This window comes from Homo sapiens, chromosome 12 (assembly GCF_000001405.40).
Source record: "Homo sapiens chromosome 12, GRCh38.p14 Primary Assembly".
NCBI lineage: Eukaryota > Metazoa > Chordata > Mammalia > Primates > Hominidae > Homo > Homo sapiens.
This window is the reverse complement of record NC_000012.12, coordinates 50484564-50499542: the sequence shown is the minus strand read 5'-3', so window position 1 is coordinate 50499542 and position 14979 is coordinate 50484564. Positions and strand designations below refer to the sequence as shown.

Sequence of the window (14979 nt, the reverse complement as noted above, 5' to 3'; positions counted from 1 at the left end):
AATATCATGAAGGTATCAGTACTTTAAAACTTAATCAGTAAAAATCAATGCAATATTTATCAAATCTCGGCCAGGCACAATGGCTCACACCTGTAATCCCAGCACTTTGGGAGGCCGAGGCGGGTGGATCACAAGGTCAGGAGATCAAGACCATCCTGGCTAACACAGTGAAACCCCGTCTCTACTAAAAAATACAAAAAAATTAGCCGAGTTTGGTGGTGGGCGCCTGTAGTCCCAGCTACTCAGGAAGCTGAGGCAGGAGAATGGCATGAACCCAGGAGGCAGAGCTTGCAGTGAGCCGAGATCGCACCACTGCACTCCAGCCTGGGCGACAGAGCAAGATTCTGTCTAAAAAAAAAAAAAAAATTTATCAAATCTCATATTTTTTTTTTTTTTTTGAGACAAGGCCTCAATCAGGCTGGAGTGCAGTGGCACGATCTCGGCTCACTGCAACCTCTTTCTCCCAGGTTAGGTTCAAGCAATTCTCCAGCCTCAGCCTCCCTAGTAGCTGGGACTGCAGGCACCACCACTACACCCAGCAAATTTTTTTTTTTTTTTTTGAGACTGAGTTTCGCTCTGTCGCCCAGGCTGGAGTGCAGTGGTGCAATCTCGGCTCACTGCAACCTCTGCCTCCCAGGTTCAAACGATTCTCCTGCCTCAGCCTCCCGAGTAGCTGGGACTACAGATGTGCACCACTGTTGAGAGCAAGCCTCCCCCCAAATCTGGCCAAAAACTGGCCCCAAAACTGGCCATAAACAAAATCTCTGCAGCACTGTAACATGTTCATAATGGCCCTAACGCCCATGCCGGAAGGTGGAACACCCATGGGAATGAGGGCAAGGAACACCTGGCCCATGCAGGGCAGAAAACCGCTTAAAGGCATTCTTAAGCCACAATCAATAGCATGAGCAATCTGTGCCTTAAGGACATGCTCCTGCTGCAGTTAACTAGCCCAACCTATTCCTTTAATTTGGCCCATCCCTTCATTTCCCATAAGGGATACTTTTAGTTAGTTTAATATCTATAGAAACAAAACAATGCTAATGACTGGCTTGCTGTTAATAAATATGTGGGTAAATCTCTGTTCGGGGCTCTCAGCTCTGAAGGCTGTGAGATCCCTGATTTCCCACTTCACACCTCTATATTTCTGTGTGTGTGTCTTTAATTCTTCTAGTGCCACTAGGTTAGGGTCTCCCCGACCGAGCTGGTCTCGGCAAGTGGCGCCCAACGTGGGGCCTCGCATCCAAGTCGAAGGGTCGCCAGAGCGACAGTTGGAATGGAAAACTAGCTGGAGGACACCTGAGTACTCTTAAAGCAATCCCCATGGTGACCAAGAAGGGGAGCTTGGAAGCGTCAGGGTAACAATGGGACAAGTTTGGGGTCTGGTTCATTCCACCTTGGAACTTTTTCACACTGATGAGGAGGAGGAAGGAGAGTATAGAGAAGTAACAGAAGTGGTTACAGAGCATGTTTATTTTCTAGCTAAAGCTAAAGTGGCAAAGGAGGGAGAGGTTCATCCCTACCCTTCTGCACCCCCTCATTATTATTTTGAAGAAAAAGACCCTCCGGATCCTTCTTTTCCGGAGGACATTGGGTGAAAAGTAGTTGCCCCAGTGACTGTTCGAGCAGCGCCTTGAGTGACCACTCTTAGTTCTATTCAGGCAGGAATTCAGCAAGCTAGACAAGAGGGTGATTTAGAGGCTTGGCAGTTTCCTGTTAGAACACACCCCCCAGATCAACAGGGAAATATTACAGCTACATTTGAGCCTTTTCCTTTTAAATTACTCAAAGAATTTAAACAAGCTATAAATCAGTATGGACCAGGTTCTCCTTTTGTAATGGGACTGTTAAAGAATGTTGCTGTTTCCAGTTGGATGATACCTACTGACTGGGACACTCTTACTCGAGCTTGTCTAACTCCTGCTCAGTTCTTACAATTTAAAACTTGGTGGGCAGATAAAGCTTCCATTCAGGCTGCTTGCAATGTCCAGGCCCAACCTCAACTTTCGGGGGTTGGCAGCTGGGCTGGTTTAGATGCACAAGTGGTCATGCAGGATGATGCCATAGAACAGTTTAGCAGAGTGTGCATTAGAGCTTGGGAAAAAATCACTTCACATGGAGAAAAATACCCTTCCTTTAGTGCTATAAAACGGGAACCAAGAGAACCATATGTTGATTGTATAGCTCAGTTACAGGAGTCTCTTAAAAAGATGATTGCAGATTCGGCTGCTCAGGATATAGTGTTGCAGTTATTAGCTTTCGACAATGCTAATCCTGATTGGCAGGCTGCTCTGTGACCTATTAGAGGGAAAGCACATTTAGTTGATTATATCAAGGCCTGTGATGGTATCGGAGGTAATCTGCATAAAGCTACTTTGTTGGCACAGGCAATGGCAGAACTGAGAGTGGATAAAAGAAATACTCCATTTCCTGGAGCTTATTTTAACTGTGGGAAGCATGGTCATACTGAAAAAGAATGTAGAAAAAAATCAGCAAGTCAGGCTGCCAGATAGGGGAAAAAAGAAAATTGCTGAGCCTGAAATATGTCCAAAGTATAAAAAAGGAAAACATTGGGCTCCTCACTGTCACTCTAAGTTTGATAAAGATGGGAACCCGATTTTGGGAAATGCCATCAGGGGCCCGTCCTGGGCCCTGTTCTAAACCAGGGCATTTCCAGCTCAGGCCATTCCCTCACCCCGTACAATGTCTGTCCCCCGCCACAGCCAGTAGTGCCACAGTAGGTTTATGCTGCACAAAAACTGTGAGCCTTCTGCCTGGGGAACCCCCGCCAAAGGTCCCAACAGGAGTCTGTGGACCCTTGCCAGCAGGGACAATAGGATTACTTTTAGGAAGGTCTAGTTTAAGTTTAAAAGGCGTACAAATACATACAGGAGTCATTGATTCAGATTATAATGGGGAAATTCAAATTATTATATCTACTTCTGTTGCCTGGAAAACAGAGCCAGGAGAGTGCATAGCACAGCTCCTGATTGTGCCATATGTGGGAATGGGAAAAAGTGAAATCAAACGAACAGGAGGATTTGGAAGCACAAATAAACAAGGCAAAGCAGTTTATTGGGTAAATCAAATTGATAAACATCCTACCTTTGAAATAACTATTCAGGGAAATAAATTTAAAGGTTTGGTAGATACAGGAACGGACATTTCAATCATTTCTCTACAGCACTGGCTGTCTGCGTGGCCAATTCAACCCGCTCAATTTAACATAGGTGGAATTGGTAAAGTCACTGAAGTATATCAAAGTAGTTATATTTTGCATTGTGAAGGGTCCAATGGACAACCTGGGACTATTCAACCAATTATAACTTCTGTACCTATAAATTTATGGGGAAGAGATTTATTACAACAATGGGGAGCACAAGTTCTAATTCCAGAACAATTATATAGCCCTCAAAGTCAACATATGATGCATGAAATGGGGTATGTCCCTGGTATGGGAGTAGAAAAAAATTTGCAAGTTTTGAAAGAACCACTTCAAGCAGAAAAACAAAGTTCCCACCAAAGATCAGGAAATAATTTTTGATGGCAGCCATTGTTAAGCCTCCAGAACCTATACCTTTAAAACAGTTAACAGATAAGCCAATTTGGATAGAACAATGGCTACTAAGTAAAGAGAAACTGGAGGCTTTAGATAAATTACGTTACTGAACAATTAGAAAATGGGCACATAGCTCCAACATTTTCTCCTTGGAATTCTCCAGTTTTCGTAATTAAGAAAAAATCAGGTAAATGGAGAATATTAACTGACTTAAGAGCCATCAATTCAGTTATACAACCTATGGGGGGCATTACAGCCAGGATTGCCTTCTCCTGCTATAATTCCAAAAAATTGGCCTTTAATAGTCATAGATTTAAAAGACTGTTTCCTTACTATCCCTTTAGCTGAGCAAGACTGAATGGTTTGCATTTACAATTCCTGTAGTAAACAACCTGCACCCTGCTAAGCGTTATCATTTGAAAGTGTTGCCCCAGGGCATATTGAACAGTCCCACAATTTGCCAGACTTATGTGGGGCAAGCAATTGAACCTACTCGTAAAAAATTTTCACAGTGTTACATTATTCACTATATGGATGATATACTTTGTGCTGCCCCCACTCGAGAAATATTACTCCAATGTTATGATCACTTGCAAAATTCGATTTCTCGTGCTGGCTTAATTATAGCTCCTGACAAAACTCAGACTACTACTCCTTACTCCTACTTGGGGACCTTAGTAAATGACACTACCATTGTGCAACAGAAAGTAACCATACATAGGGATCAACTGAAAACATTATATGACTTTCAAAAATTACTAGGGGACATTAATTGGATACGACGTGCTCTAGGCATTCCTACCTATGCCATGAGTAATCTGTTTTCTATCCTTAGAGCAAATCCTAGTCTCACTAGCCCTCAGCAATTAACAAAGGAGGCTGAGGCAGAGTTACAACTGAGAAGCAAGTCCATAAAGCTCAAATAAATAGATCCAGAGAAGACTCTAGATTTGCTAATTTTTTCCACTCAGCATTCACCTACTGGTGTTACTGTCCAAGAACAGGACTTAGTAGAGTGGCTTTTTCTTCCACATACTAATTCACGGACTCTAACTCCTTATTTAGATCAAATTGTTACAATGATAGGGATTGGGAGAACTCGGATTGTTAAATTACATGGATATGATCCTGGAAAAATTATTGTCCCTCTCACGAAAGCACAAATACAGCAAGCTTTTATAAATAGTCTTTCTTGGCAAACCCATTTAGCTGACTTTTTGGGTATTCTCGATAATCATTTTCCTAAAATGAAGCTGTTTCAGTTTTTGAAATTAACTAATTGGATTCTCCCTAAAATAACTAAATTTAAACAAATTGAAGGTGCTGAGAATGTTTTTACAGATGGGTCTAGTAATGGTAAAGCTTCTTATTTTGGCTCAGAAAGTAGTTTTCCAGACGTCCTATACTTCAGCTCAAAAAGCGGAGCTTGTCGCTGTAATTGAGGTATTGACTGCTTTTGATATGCCTATTAATGTGATTTCTGATTCTTCATACGTGGTTCATTCCACACAGTTAATTGAAAATGCTCAGTTATGATTTCATACAAATGAACAACTGATGACTTTATTTACCCAATTGCAAACAGCAGTTAGAAGTAGAATGCACCCTTTTTACATCACTCACATTAGGGCTCATACACATCTTCCAGGACCTTTGACCAAAGGGAATCAAATGGCTGATCACCTAGTTGCTAATGCAATATCTAATGCTAGACACTTTCACAATTCAACCCATGTTAATGCCTCTGGTCTCAAATGCAGATACAGCATTACCTGGAACGAAGCTAAAGCTATTATCCAGCAATGTCCAACTTGCCAAATGGTACATTCCTCATCTTTTACAGGAGGAGTTAATCCTTGAGGACTGGAACCTAACTCTCTTTGGCAAATGGATGTCAAACATATTCCCTCGTTTGGGAGACTAGCTTATGTACATGTACGTGTGGACACCTTTTCTCACTTTGGGCTACATGCCAATCAGGAGAGTCTTCTGCCTGTTTTAAACATCACCTTTTGCAGTGTTTTGCAGTGATGGGCATTCCAGCTTCTATTAAAACAGATAATGCCCCAGTCTATACTAGCCAAGCTCTAGCTACATTTTTCTCTATGTGGAATATTAAACACATTACTGGTATCCCATACAATTCTCAAGGACAAGCCATAGTGGAAAGAATGAATCTCTCCCTAAAACAGCAGTTGCAAAAGCAGAAATGGGGAGACAGGGAATATGGAACCCCACAGATGCAACTGAACCTAGCATTATTAACTTTAAATTTTTTGAGCCTGCCTAAAGGACAAATGTTATCAGCAGCTGAACAGCATCTACAGAAACCAGCTGCAAAGACAGAAGCAAAACCATTGGTTTGGTGGAGAGATCCGATAACAAAAAGTTGGGAAATAGGTAAAATAATAACTTGGGGTAGAGGTTATGTTTGTGTTTCTCCAGGCCAAAATTAACAGCCGATTTGGATACCATCGAGACACCTGAAACCTTATCATGAGCCAGATGCCGAGGAAGAGATTCCAGAAGGATCCCGAGGACCCCCTGGTTGCAGCCATGTCGAGACCGATGCTGAGGAGGACCCCAACTGTCACGAGCAACACCTTTTGAACACAGCCACCCACCTGGGGACAGATCAAGAAGCTGTCACAGATGGTGGAAGAAAACCTGAGGAGAGTGGGACAACCAGTAACAATGAATAATTTAATGGTAGCTATGATAGCGGTTATCACCACTGCCGTGAGTATTCCTTCAATAAGGGCTGACACAGAGAACAATTATACTTATTGGGCATATTTATCAATCTTGGCTGGCAATAATGCCTAGATTTAATCACTCTATGACACAGTTACACATGCTTTCTGATCTCAGTATTGACCATAATAAATCTGTTCTTATAATTGAGTCATACTGCCCTCAAAAACCTATTTGTAAACAAAATTGAACCTGGCCAGAAAAAATGAATGTACTTGTTTAGGAAGATTGCGTTGCAGAACAGGTAGAGGTGCTGCACAATGATTCCTATGGAATCATTATTAATTGGTCCCCTAAGGGGATGTTTAGCTTGAATTGCACCTCTCAGTCTGCGTGCCATGGCCACACTATGTTCAGCTGGTCTGAACAAAATGGTCAGATGGTAGAAATGATAAGAAGTACAGCAAGAGTTCCTATTATCTGGAATCATGGTGGTATAGTGGCATCTCAACCTCAAATGATATGGCTCGCTGTAGGAGCTAAACATAAGGATTTGTGGAAACTATTAAATGCTTTAATAAGATCAAAATTTGGGAAAGAATAAAAAAAGCATCTAGAAGGACACTCTACAAACTTGTCTTTGGATATTGCAAAATTAAAAGAACAAATATTTAAAGCATCCCAGGCATACCTGACCTTAATGCCAGGAACTGGAGTGCTTAAAGGAGCTGGAAATGGATAAAAACACTTAGAATCTCTGTAATTTCAATGATGATTGTGCTTTTAATCTGTGTTGTTTGTCTTTGTATAGTCTGCAGTTGTGGATCCTGACTCCTGTGAGAAGTAGCTCACTGTGACAAAGCTGCCTTTGCTTTTATCAATTTGCAAATCAAAGAAGGGGGACATGTTGGGAGCAAGCCCCCCAAAATCTGGCCAAAAACTGGCCTCAAAACTGGCCATAAACAAAATCTCTGCAGCACTGTAACATGTTCATAATGGCCCTAGTGCCCCACTGGAAGGTTGTGGGTTCACGGGAGGAACACCTGGCCCGCCCAGGGCAGAAAACCGCTTAAAGGCATTCTTAAGCCACAAACAATAGCATGAGCGATCTGTGCCTTAAGGACATGCTCCTGCTGCAGTTAACTAGCCCAGCCTATTCCTTTAATTTGGCCCATCCCTTCATTTCCCATAAGGGATACTTTTAGTTAATTTAATATCTATAGAAAAATGCTAATGACTGGCTTGCTGTTAATAAATATGTGGGTAAATCTCTGTTTGGGACTCTCAGCTCTGAAGGCTGTGAGACCCCTGATTTCCCACTTCACACCTCTATATTTCTGTGTGTGTGGCTTTAATTCCTCTAGCACCGCTGGGTTAGGGTCTCCCTGACCGAGCTGGTCTCGGCACACCACCACTCCTGGCTAATTTTTGTATTTTTAGTAGAGATGGGGTTTCACTATGTTGGCCAGGCTGGTCTTGAACTCCTGACCTCAGGTGATCCACCTGCCTCGGCCTCCCAAAGTGCTGGGATTATAGGCATGAGCCACCACACCCGGCCTCATTGTAATTTTTAAAAATCATAACTTGACAAGCTGATTCTAAAGTTCAAACAGAAGACTTAATGTTCAAAGAAAGTAAAAAAAAAAAAAGATAGAAAAGGGGGCTTTGCCTGACCTGATATCAAGACATACTAAAAAGCTACAAGTCTAAAAACCAAGAAATCAGAAGGGAAGGCTGGTTAATGTAAATAAAACTTAAGTCTGAATGATGAATGGTAATATAAACATGCATGTTTTTTAGTGGCAAGGCTCAATATTTTATCAAATCAGTTGTCCTAAAATTTCCATGGCTGGGCACAGTGGGAAGCTGAGGCAGGCAGATCACCTGAGTTCGGGAGTTCCAGACCAGCCTGACCAACATGGAGAAACCCTGTCTCTACTAAAAATACAAAATTAGCCAGGCATGGTGGCACATGCTTATAATTCCAGCTACTCAGGAGGCTGAGGCAGAAGAATCACTTGAACCCGGGAGGCAGAGGTTGCAGTGAGCCGAGATCATGTCATTGCACTCCAGCCTGGGGCAACAAGCATGAAACTTTGTCTCAAAAGGAAAAACAAAAAACAAAAAAAACTTCATATAAGTGCAATGCAGGTTGGGCGCAGCGGCTCACGCCTGTAATCCCAGCACTTTGGGAGGCTGAGGTAGGTGGATCACCTGAGGTCAGGACTTCGAGATCAGCCTGGCCAACATGGCGAAACCCCACCTCTACTAAAAATACAAAAATTAGCCAGGCATAATGGTGCACACCTGTGATCTCAGCTACTCGGGAGGCTGAGGCAGGAGAATAGCTTGAACCTGAGAGGCGGAGGTTGCAGTGAGCTGAGATCACACCACTGTACTCCAGCCTGGGCAACAGAGTGAGACTCCATCTCAAAAAAAAAAAAAGTTCAATGCAATATTCATAAAAATCCTAACAGAATACTTCTTAACAAAATTCAATAGGTGATTCTAAAATCCACATTGAAGAAAATAATTCACAGGAGTGGCCAGGCATGCTAAACAAGAATAGTCATAGGAGCAACTTCCTCATTCAAACATCAAAATACACACACAAAAAAGATGTAGAATTTAAGGCAGAAAGCTATTAGGATAGGCATAGAATTGATAAAAGGCATTGGATAAACAGTGAAGAAACAATAATGCAGGAATAACTGAGAGTTTCCTTTGTGATAAAGGTGGCACCTCAAATCAGAGAGAAAGGATACAGTTTTCAATAATGGTTTTGGAACAAATGACTATTCAGAAAAAAATAATGCACCAAAATAAACTCTGAATATATTTAAAAGCTAAAATTCAGGCTAGGCATGGTTAATCAAGCCTATAATCTCAGTACTTTGGGAGGCGGAGGCAGGCTGATCACTTGAGGTCAGGAGTTCAAGACCAGCCTGACCAGCATGGCAAAACCTCATCTCTACTAAAAGTACAAAAATTAGCTGGGCACAGTGGCAGGCACCTATAATCCCAGCTGTTCAGGAGGCTGAGGCAGGAGAACCACTTGAACCCAGGAGACAGAGGTTGTAGTAAGCTGAGATCACGCCACTGCACTCCAGCCTGAGTGACAGAGTAAGATACCATCTCGAAAAAAAAAAAAAAAGCTAAAATTCAAAAACCAAAATTATTATAGTATTAGAAGAAAATACCAGACCCTACATACAAGTTAAAGAAATTACAGGCAAGAATTTTTTTTTTAGTGTATTTAACAGATAGCAAAATATTCAGAATATATAGAGGCTTGCCAGTAAACAAAAACTGACAACCTCATGGAAAAATAAGTAAGAAATAATACATGGCTAACAAACATATATAAAAAGATTTAAAAACTCATCAGAGGCCTGGCACAGTGGCTCATGCCTGTAATCCCAGCACTGTGGGAGGCCGAGGCAGGTGGATCACAAGGTCAGGAGTTTGAGACCAGCCTGGCCAACATAGTGAAACCTCATCTCTACTAAAAATTACAAAAAAAAATTAGCCAGGTGTGGCGGCAGGAGCCTGTAGTCCCAGCTACTTAGGAGGCTGAGGCAGGAGAATCACTTGAACCCGGGAGGTGAAGGTTGTAGTGAGCCAAGATTATGCCAATGCACTCCAGCCTGGGCAACAGAGCAAGACTGTCTCAAAAAAATAAATAAATAAAATAAATAAAAAAACAAAACACAGGCCGGGCACGGTGGCTCACGCCTGTAATCCCAGCACTTTGGGAGGCCGAGGTGGGTGGATCACGATGTCAGGAGATTGAGACCATCCTGGCTAACATGGTGAAACCCCGTCTGTACTTAAAAAAATACAAAAAATTAGCCAGGCCTGGTGGTGGGCACCTGTAGTCCCAGCTACTCGGGAGGCTGAGGCAGGAGAATGGCATGAACCTGGGAGGTAGAGGTTGCAGTGAGCCGAGATCCTGCCATTGCACTCCAGCCTGGGCAACAGAGCGAGACTCTGTCTCAAAAAAACAAAAACAAAAACAAAAACAAACAAACAAAAAACTTCATCAGAAATCAAGGAAATATGATTTTACCAATAACAGATACAGGATCCCTAAATTTTGATATATAGATGCTAAGAGTATCATGTCTCCTAATCTCTGGAGCGCACAGCTATGATCATCATAAAAGCCTGAAACTGCTGAAGGTAATCTGTCCTGTGAAGAGATTTGCTATATGGAAACTGGGGAAGAGAATTATTTCCTTATCTGGAAGTGTCTGCAAGGACTGTGTAAACATATAACTGTTACTCGCCAGTCTTTCCTGTCACATGGAGAGATCCCACTTAAGAAACAAGCCAACACACAGCTAACAGACTGGGCATAAGAGGGATAAATTGGAGAGAAGAGGAGAGATGGAGAGACAGGGTTAGGGTAAGAAGATGGATTACAAAGACTATACTTTCAGTCCGGTGCGGTGGCTTACGTCTGTAATCCCAGCACTTTGGGAGGCTGAGGCTGGTGGATCACTTGAGCCCAGGAGTTTCAGACCAGTCTGGTCAACATGGCTAAATCCCGACTCTAAAAAAATGCAAGTTGAGGCGGGAGGATCACCTGAGCCCAAGCGAGGAGGTTAAGGCTGCAGTGAGTTGTGATAGCGCCACCGCACTGCAGCCTGGGCGACAGAGTGAGACCCTATCTCAAAAAAAAAAAAAAAAAAAGAAAGAAAGAAAAAAAGAAAAGCATAAAAAGACTATACTTTCAGGGATCATTTCCATAGTTTGTTACTAGAGAAGTTTCTCTGAGCATGTGGAGCACTGAAATATCTAAGACTTCAAAAAAAAAAAAAAAAATTGATTACACACTTGAATCCAGCTCTATCACTGAACATTTAAAGTAGGCCTCTGGCTTCCCTCCGCTTATTTTCTAACCTCTTTTCAACCCTACATAATCATGCTTCCACTCACACTCTAGTGAATCAGTTTGGTAATGGTTACCAGTAACCACCTAATTGTGAAATCCAATGGACTTTTCAGACATCTCACCTATGTGACATTTATCATGAACATCCTCCAGCAGAGTGGTACATTTATTACAAATGATGGACTTACATTTTTTTTTTTAAGACAAGGTCTCTCCGTACCCCAGGCTGGAGTGCAGTGGCGTGATCAGGGTTCAATAAAGCCTCGACCTCCCTGCCTCAAGCAATCCTCCTGCCTCAGCCTCCCAAGCAGCTGAGACTACGGGCACAAGCCACCATGCCCAGCTAATTTATTTATTTATTTATTTTTTTGAGATCGAGTTTCTCCCTGTCGCCCAGGCTGGAGTGCAGTGGCTCGATCTCAGCTCACTGCAACCTCCGCTTCACCAAGCTCAGGTGATTCTCCTGCCTCAGCCTCCTGAACAGCTGGAATTACAGGTGCCCACCACCACACCCAGCTAATTTTTGTATTTTTAGTAGAGACAGGGTTTCACCACGTTGGCCAGGCTGGTCTCAAACTCCTGACCTTGAGTGATCCACCTGTCTTGGCCTCCTAAGTACTGGGATTACAGGTGTGAGCCACTGCGCAGGGCCAATTTTTGTATTTTTAGCAGAGACAGGGTTTTGCCATATTGGCCAGGCTGGTCTCAAACTCCTGGCCTCAAGTGATTCCCTCACCTTGGCCTCCCAAAGTGCTGGGATTACAGATGTGAGCCACCGCACCAGGCCCTGGCTAATTTTTTTTGTATTTTTTGTAGATACAGGGTTTCACCATGTTGCCCAGGCTGGTCAGGCGTGATTGCAGGCATGAGCCACCTTGCCTGGCCTGATGAACCTACACTGACACATCATTATCATTCAAATAACATAGTTTACATTAGCCTTCACTTTTGGTGCTGGCCATTCTGTGGGTTTGGACCAATGTCTAATGGTCCAACATGTATCCGCCATTATAGTATCATATATAGTTTCACTGCCCTGAAAATCCTCTGTGTTCCACCCATTCATCCATCCCTTGCTCTTCACCTTTGGCAATCCCTGCTCTTTTTGCTGTCTCTGTAGTTTTATCTGTTCCAGAATGTCATAACTTGGAATCATACAGCATGTAGCCTTTTTAGATTGGCCTCATTCACTTCATAATATGCATTTAAATTTTTTCCATGTCTTCATGGTTTGATAGCTCATTTCTTGTTAGTGCTGAATAACACTAACTGGATGTACCACAGTTTATTGATCCATTCACCTACTGAATGTTGCTTCTCAGTTTTGATAATTTTGAATAAAGCTGCTATAAACATCCATGTACAGGTTTTTGTGTGAACATATTTTCAACTCCTTTGGGTAAATACTAAGGAATATGATTGTTAGATCCCATGGTGACATGTTTAGTTTTGTGGAGAACTGTCAAATGGCTGTACCATTTTGCATTCCCACCAGCAATAAATGAGAAGTCATGTTGCTCCACATTCTGCTAGCATTTGGTGGTGTCAGTGTTCTGAATTATAGCTATTTTCATTAGGTGTAGAGGTATCTTGTTTTAATTTGCATTTTCTTCATGACATATAATATGGAGCACCTTTTTCAGATCCTTATTTTCCATACGATATGTCTTTTTTGGCAAGATGTTTGTTAAAGTCTTTGGTTCACTTTTTAATTTTTTTTGAGACAGGGTCTGGCCCTGTCACCCAGGCTGTAGTGGACCACAGCCTCAAACTCCCAGGCTCAAGTGATCCTCCCACCTCACTCTCCCAAGTAGCTGGGACTACAGGTACACATTACCACACCCAGCTAATAAAAAAAAATTTGTTTTAAGTTCTTTGTATATATTAGCGAACAGTTGCTTATCAGATATATCTTTTGCAATTTCCCCCCCAGTCTGTGGCTTGTATTTTATTCTCTCAACAGTCTCTTCTGCAGAGCACATTTGCTGTTGTTGTTGTTTTGAGACAGTCTTTCTGTATCCCCCAGGCTGGAGTGCAGTGGTGGGACCTTGGCTCACTGCAATCTCCATCTTCCAGGCTCAAGTGATCCTCCCAGCCTCCAGAGTAGTTGGGACTCCAGAGTAGTTGGGATTACAAGTGCACACCGCCACATCCAGCTAACTTTTGTATTATTAATTATTATTTTTTGATAAGGAGTCTCGCTCTGTCACCAGGCTGGAGTGCAGCAGTGCGATCCTGGCTCACTGCAACCTCTGCATCATGGGTTCAAGCAGTTCTCCTGCCTCAGCCTCCCCAGTAGCTGGGATTACAGGTGCGCACCACTATGCCCAGCTAATTTTTTTGTATTTTTAGTAGAGACGGGGTTTCACCATGTTGGCCAGGATGGTCTCGATCTCCTGAGCTCGTGATCCACCCGCCTCGGACTTCCAAAGTGCTGGGATTACAGACATGAGCCACTGTGCCTGGCCAGTTTATTCAGTTTTTGACTTGTTAGGATGAAGTGCCAACCTCCAAGATTCTCACATGCCAGACTGGAAACCAATGTCCCCTTTAAGCTTTTAAAAATTATTTTTATTTGAAACTATTTCCAAACAGATAATTAAACCTGCGTATACATCTCATCATCTAGATTTAAAAACTAGTGGCTGGGTGTGGTGGCTCACGCCTGTAATCCCAGCACTTTGGGAAGCTAAGGCAGGCGGATCACCTGAGGTCAGGAGTTCAAGACCAGACTGAGCAACACGGCAAAACCCTGTCTCTACTAAAAAGACAAAAATTACCCGGGCGTGGTGGCACGTGCCTGTAATCCAACTACTCGGGAGACTGAGGCAGGAGAATCGCTTGAACCCAGGAGGCAGAGGTTGCAGTGAGCCAAGACCGTGCCATTGCACTCCAGCCTGGGTGACAAGATTGAAACTCCATCTCAACAACAACAAAACAAAAACAAACAAACAAATTACCTGCCTGAATACACCAGGACCAGTTGCAGAGCTGGCTATGGTACACCTATAATTTCCTTCAAGGTGGGCAAAAAGGCCTTTTTTTTGAGACAGAGTCTTACTCTGTCACCCAGGCTAGAGTGCCGTGGCATGATCTCGGCTCACTGCAACCTCTGTCTCCCGGGTTCAAGCAATTCTCATGCCTCAGTGTATCAAGAGTAGCTGGGATTGAGACACATGCCACCATGCCTGGCTAATTTTTTAGAGACAGGGTTTCACCGTGTTGGCCAGGCTGGTCTTGAACTCCTGATCTCAAGTGATCCACCCATCTTGGATTCCCAAAGTGTTGGGATTACAGGCATGAGCTACCTTGACTGTCAGGGCATGGGAAAAGCCTTGATAGACATGCAAATTCCACAACCTTCAAGACATATTTATGGGTTTATTACTTCTGGACACAACCGGTTTGCTTAAGCAGACATGAATTATCAGTCTTTTTTGGATCCACAGAAAAATGACAAATTGATAATGAAGAAAAAAATTTTTAGGAGGTAATAAAGTCATGACAAACAATGCTTTTATTCGTCTACAGTACGTGGGAGACCTTATTGGTGAGGACTGGAAACATTAAGTCTTGAATGATATCATATGCTTAGCACAATAGTGGTGACTTGGAGACTCTCCAGGTGGGAAAGAGAATGATGAATAGGGTTAAGGACACAACAATCAAGGTAGAAAAAAAGGGGTGGATATAATGTTTAGCCCTGTCCGTAGCAGTCACGTTCAAAATTGGCTGTAAGTTTAATTTAATTAAAACCACCCTATACTACAGATTAACTACTGGATTTAAAATGATTGGTTTTGAAGGATGGGCAGGGTAGTGCATGCCT

At 42.7% G+C, this 14979-nt stretch overlaps 1 pseudogene, besides 1 other annotated feature; it reads left to right on the top strand.

Moving 5' to 3' along the window:
• Positions 10440–10640: a silencer, noted in NCBI's record as "peak1730 fragment used in MPRA reporter construct". NCBI's record gives its function as "represses an SCP1 promoter by STARR-seq MPRAs in K562 erythroleukemia cells {active_cell/tissue: K562}" and the evidence as "EXISTENCE:reporter gene assay evidence [ECO:0000049][PMID:32103011]".
• Positions 10977–11059, top strand: LOC124903127 (uncharacterized; annotated as a pseudogene).
• The last annotated feature ends 3920 nt before the right edge of the window (positions 11060–14979 follow it).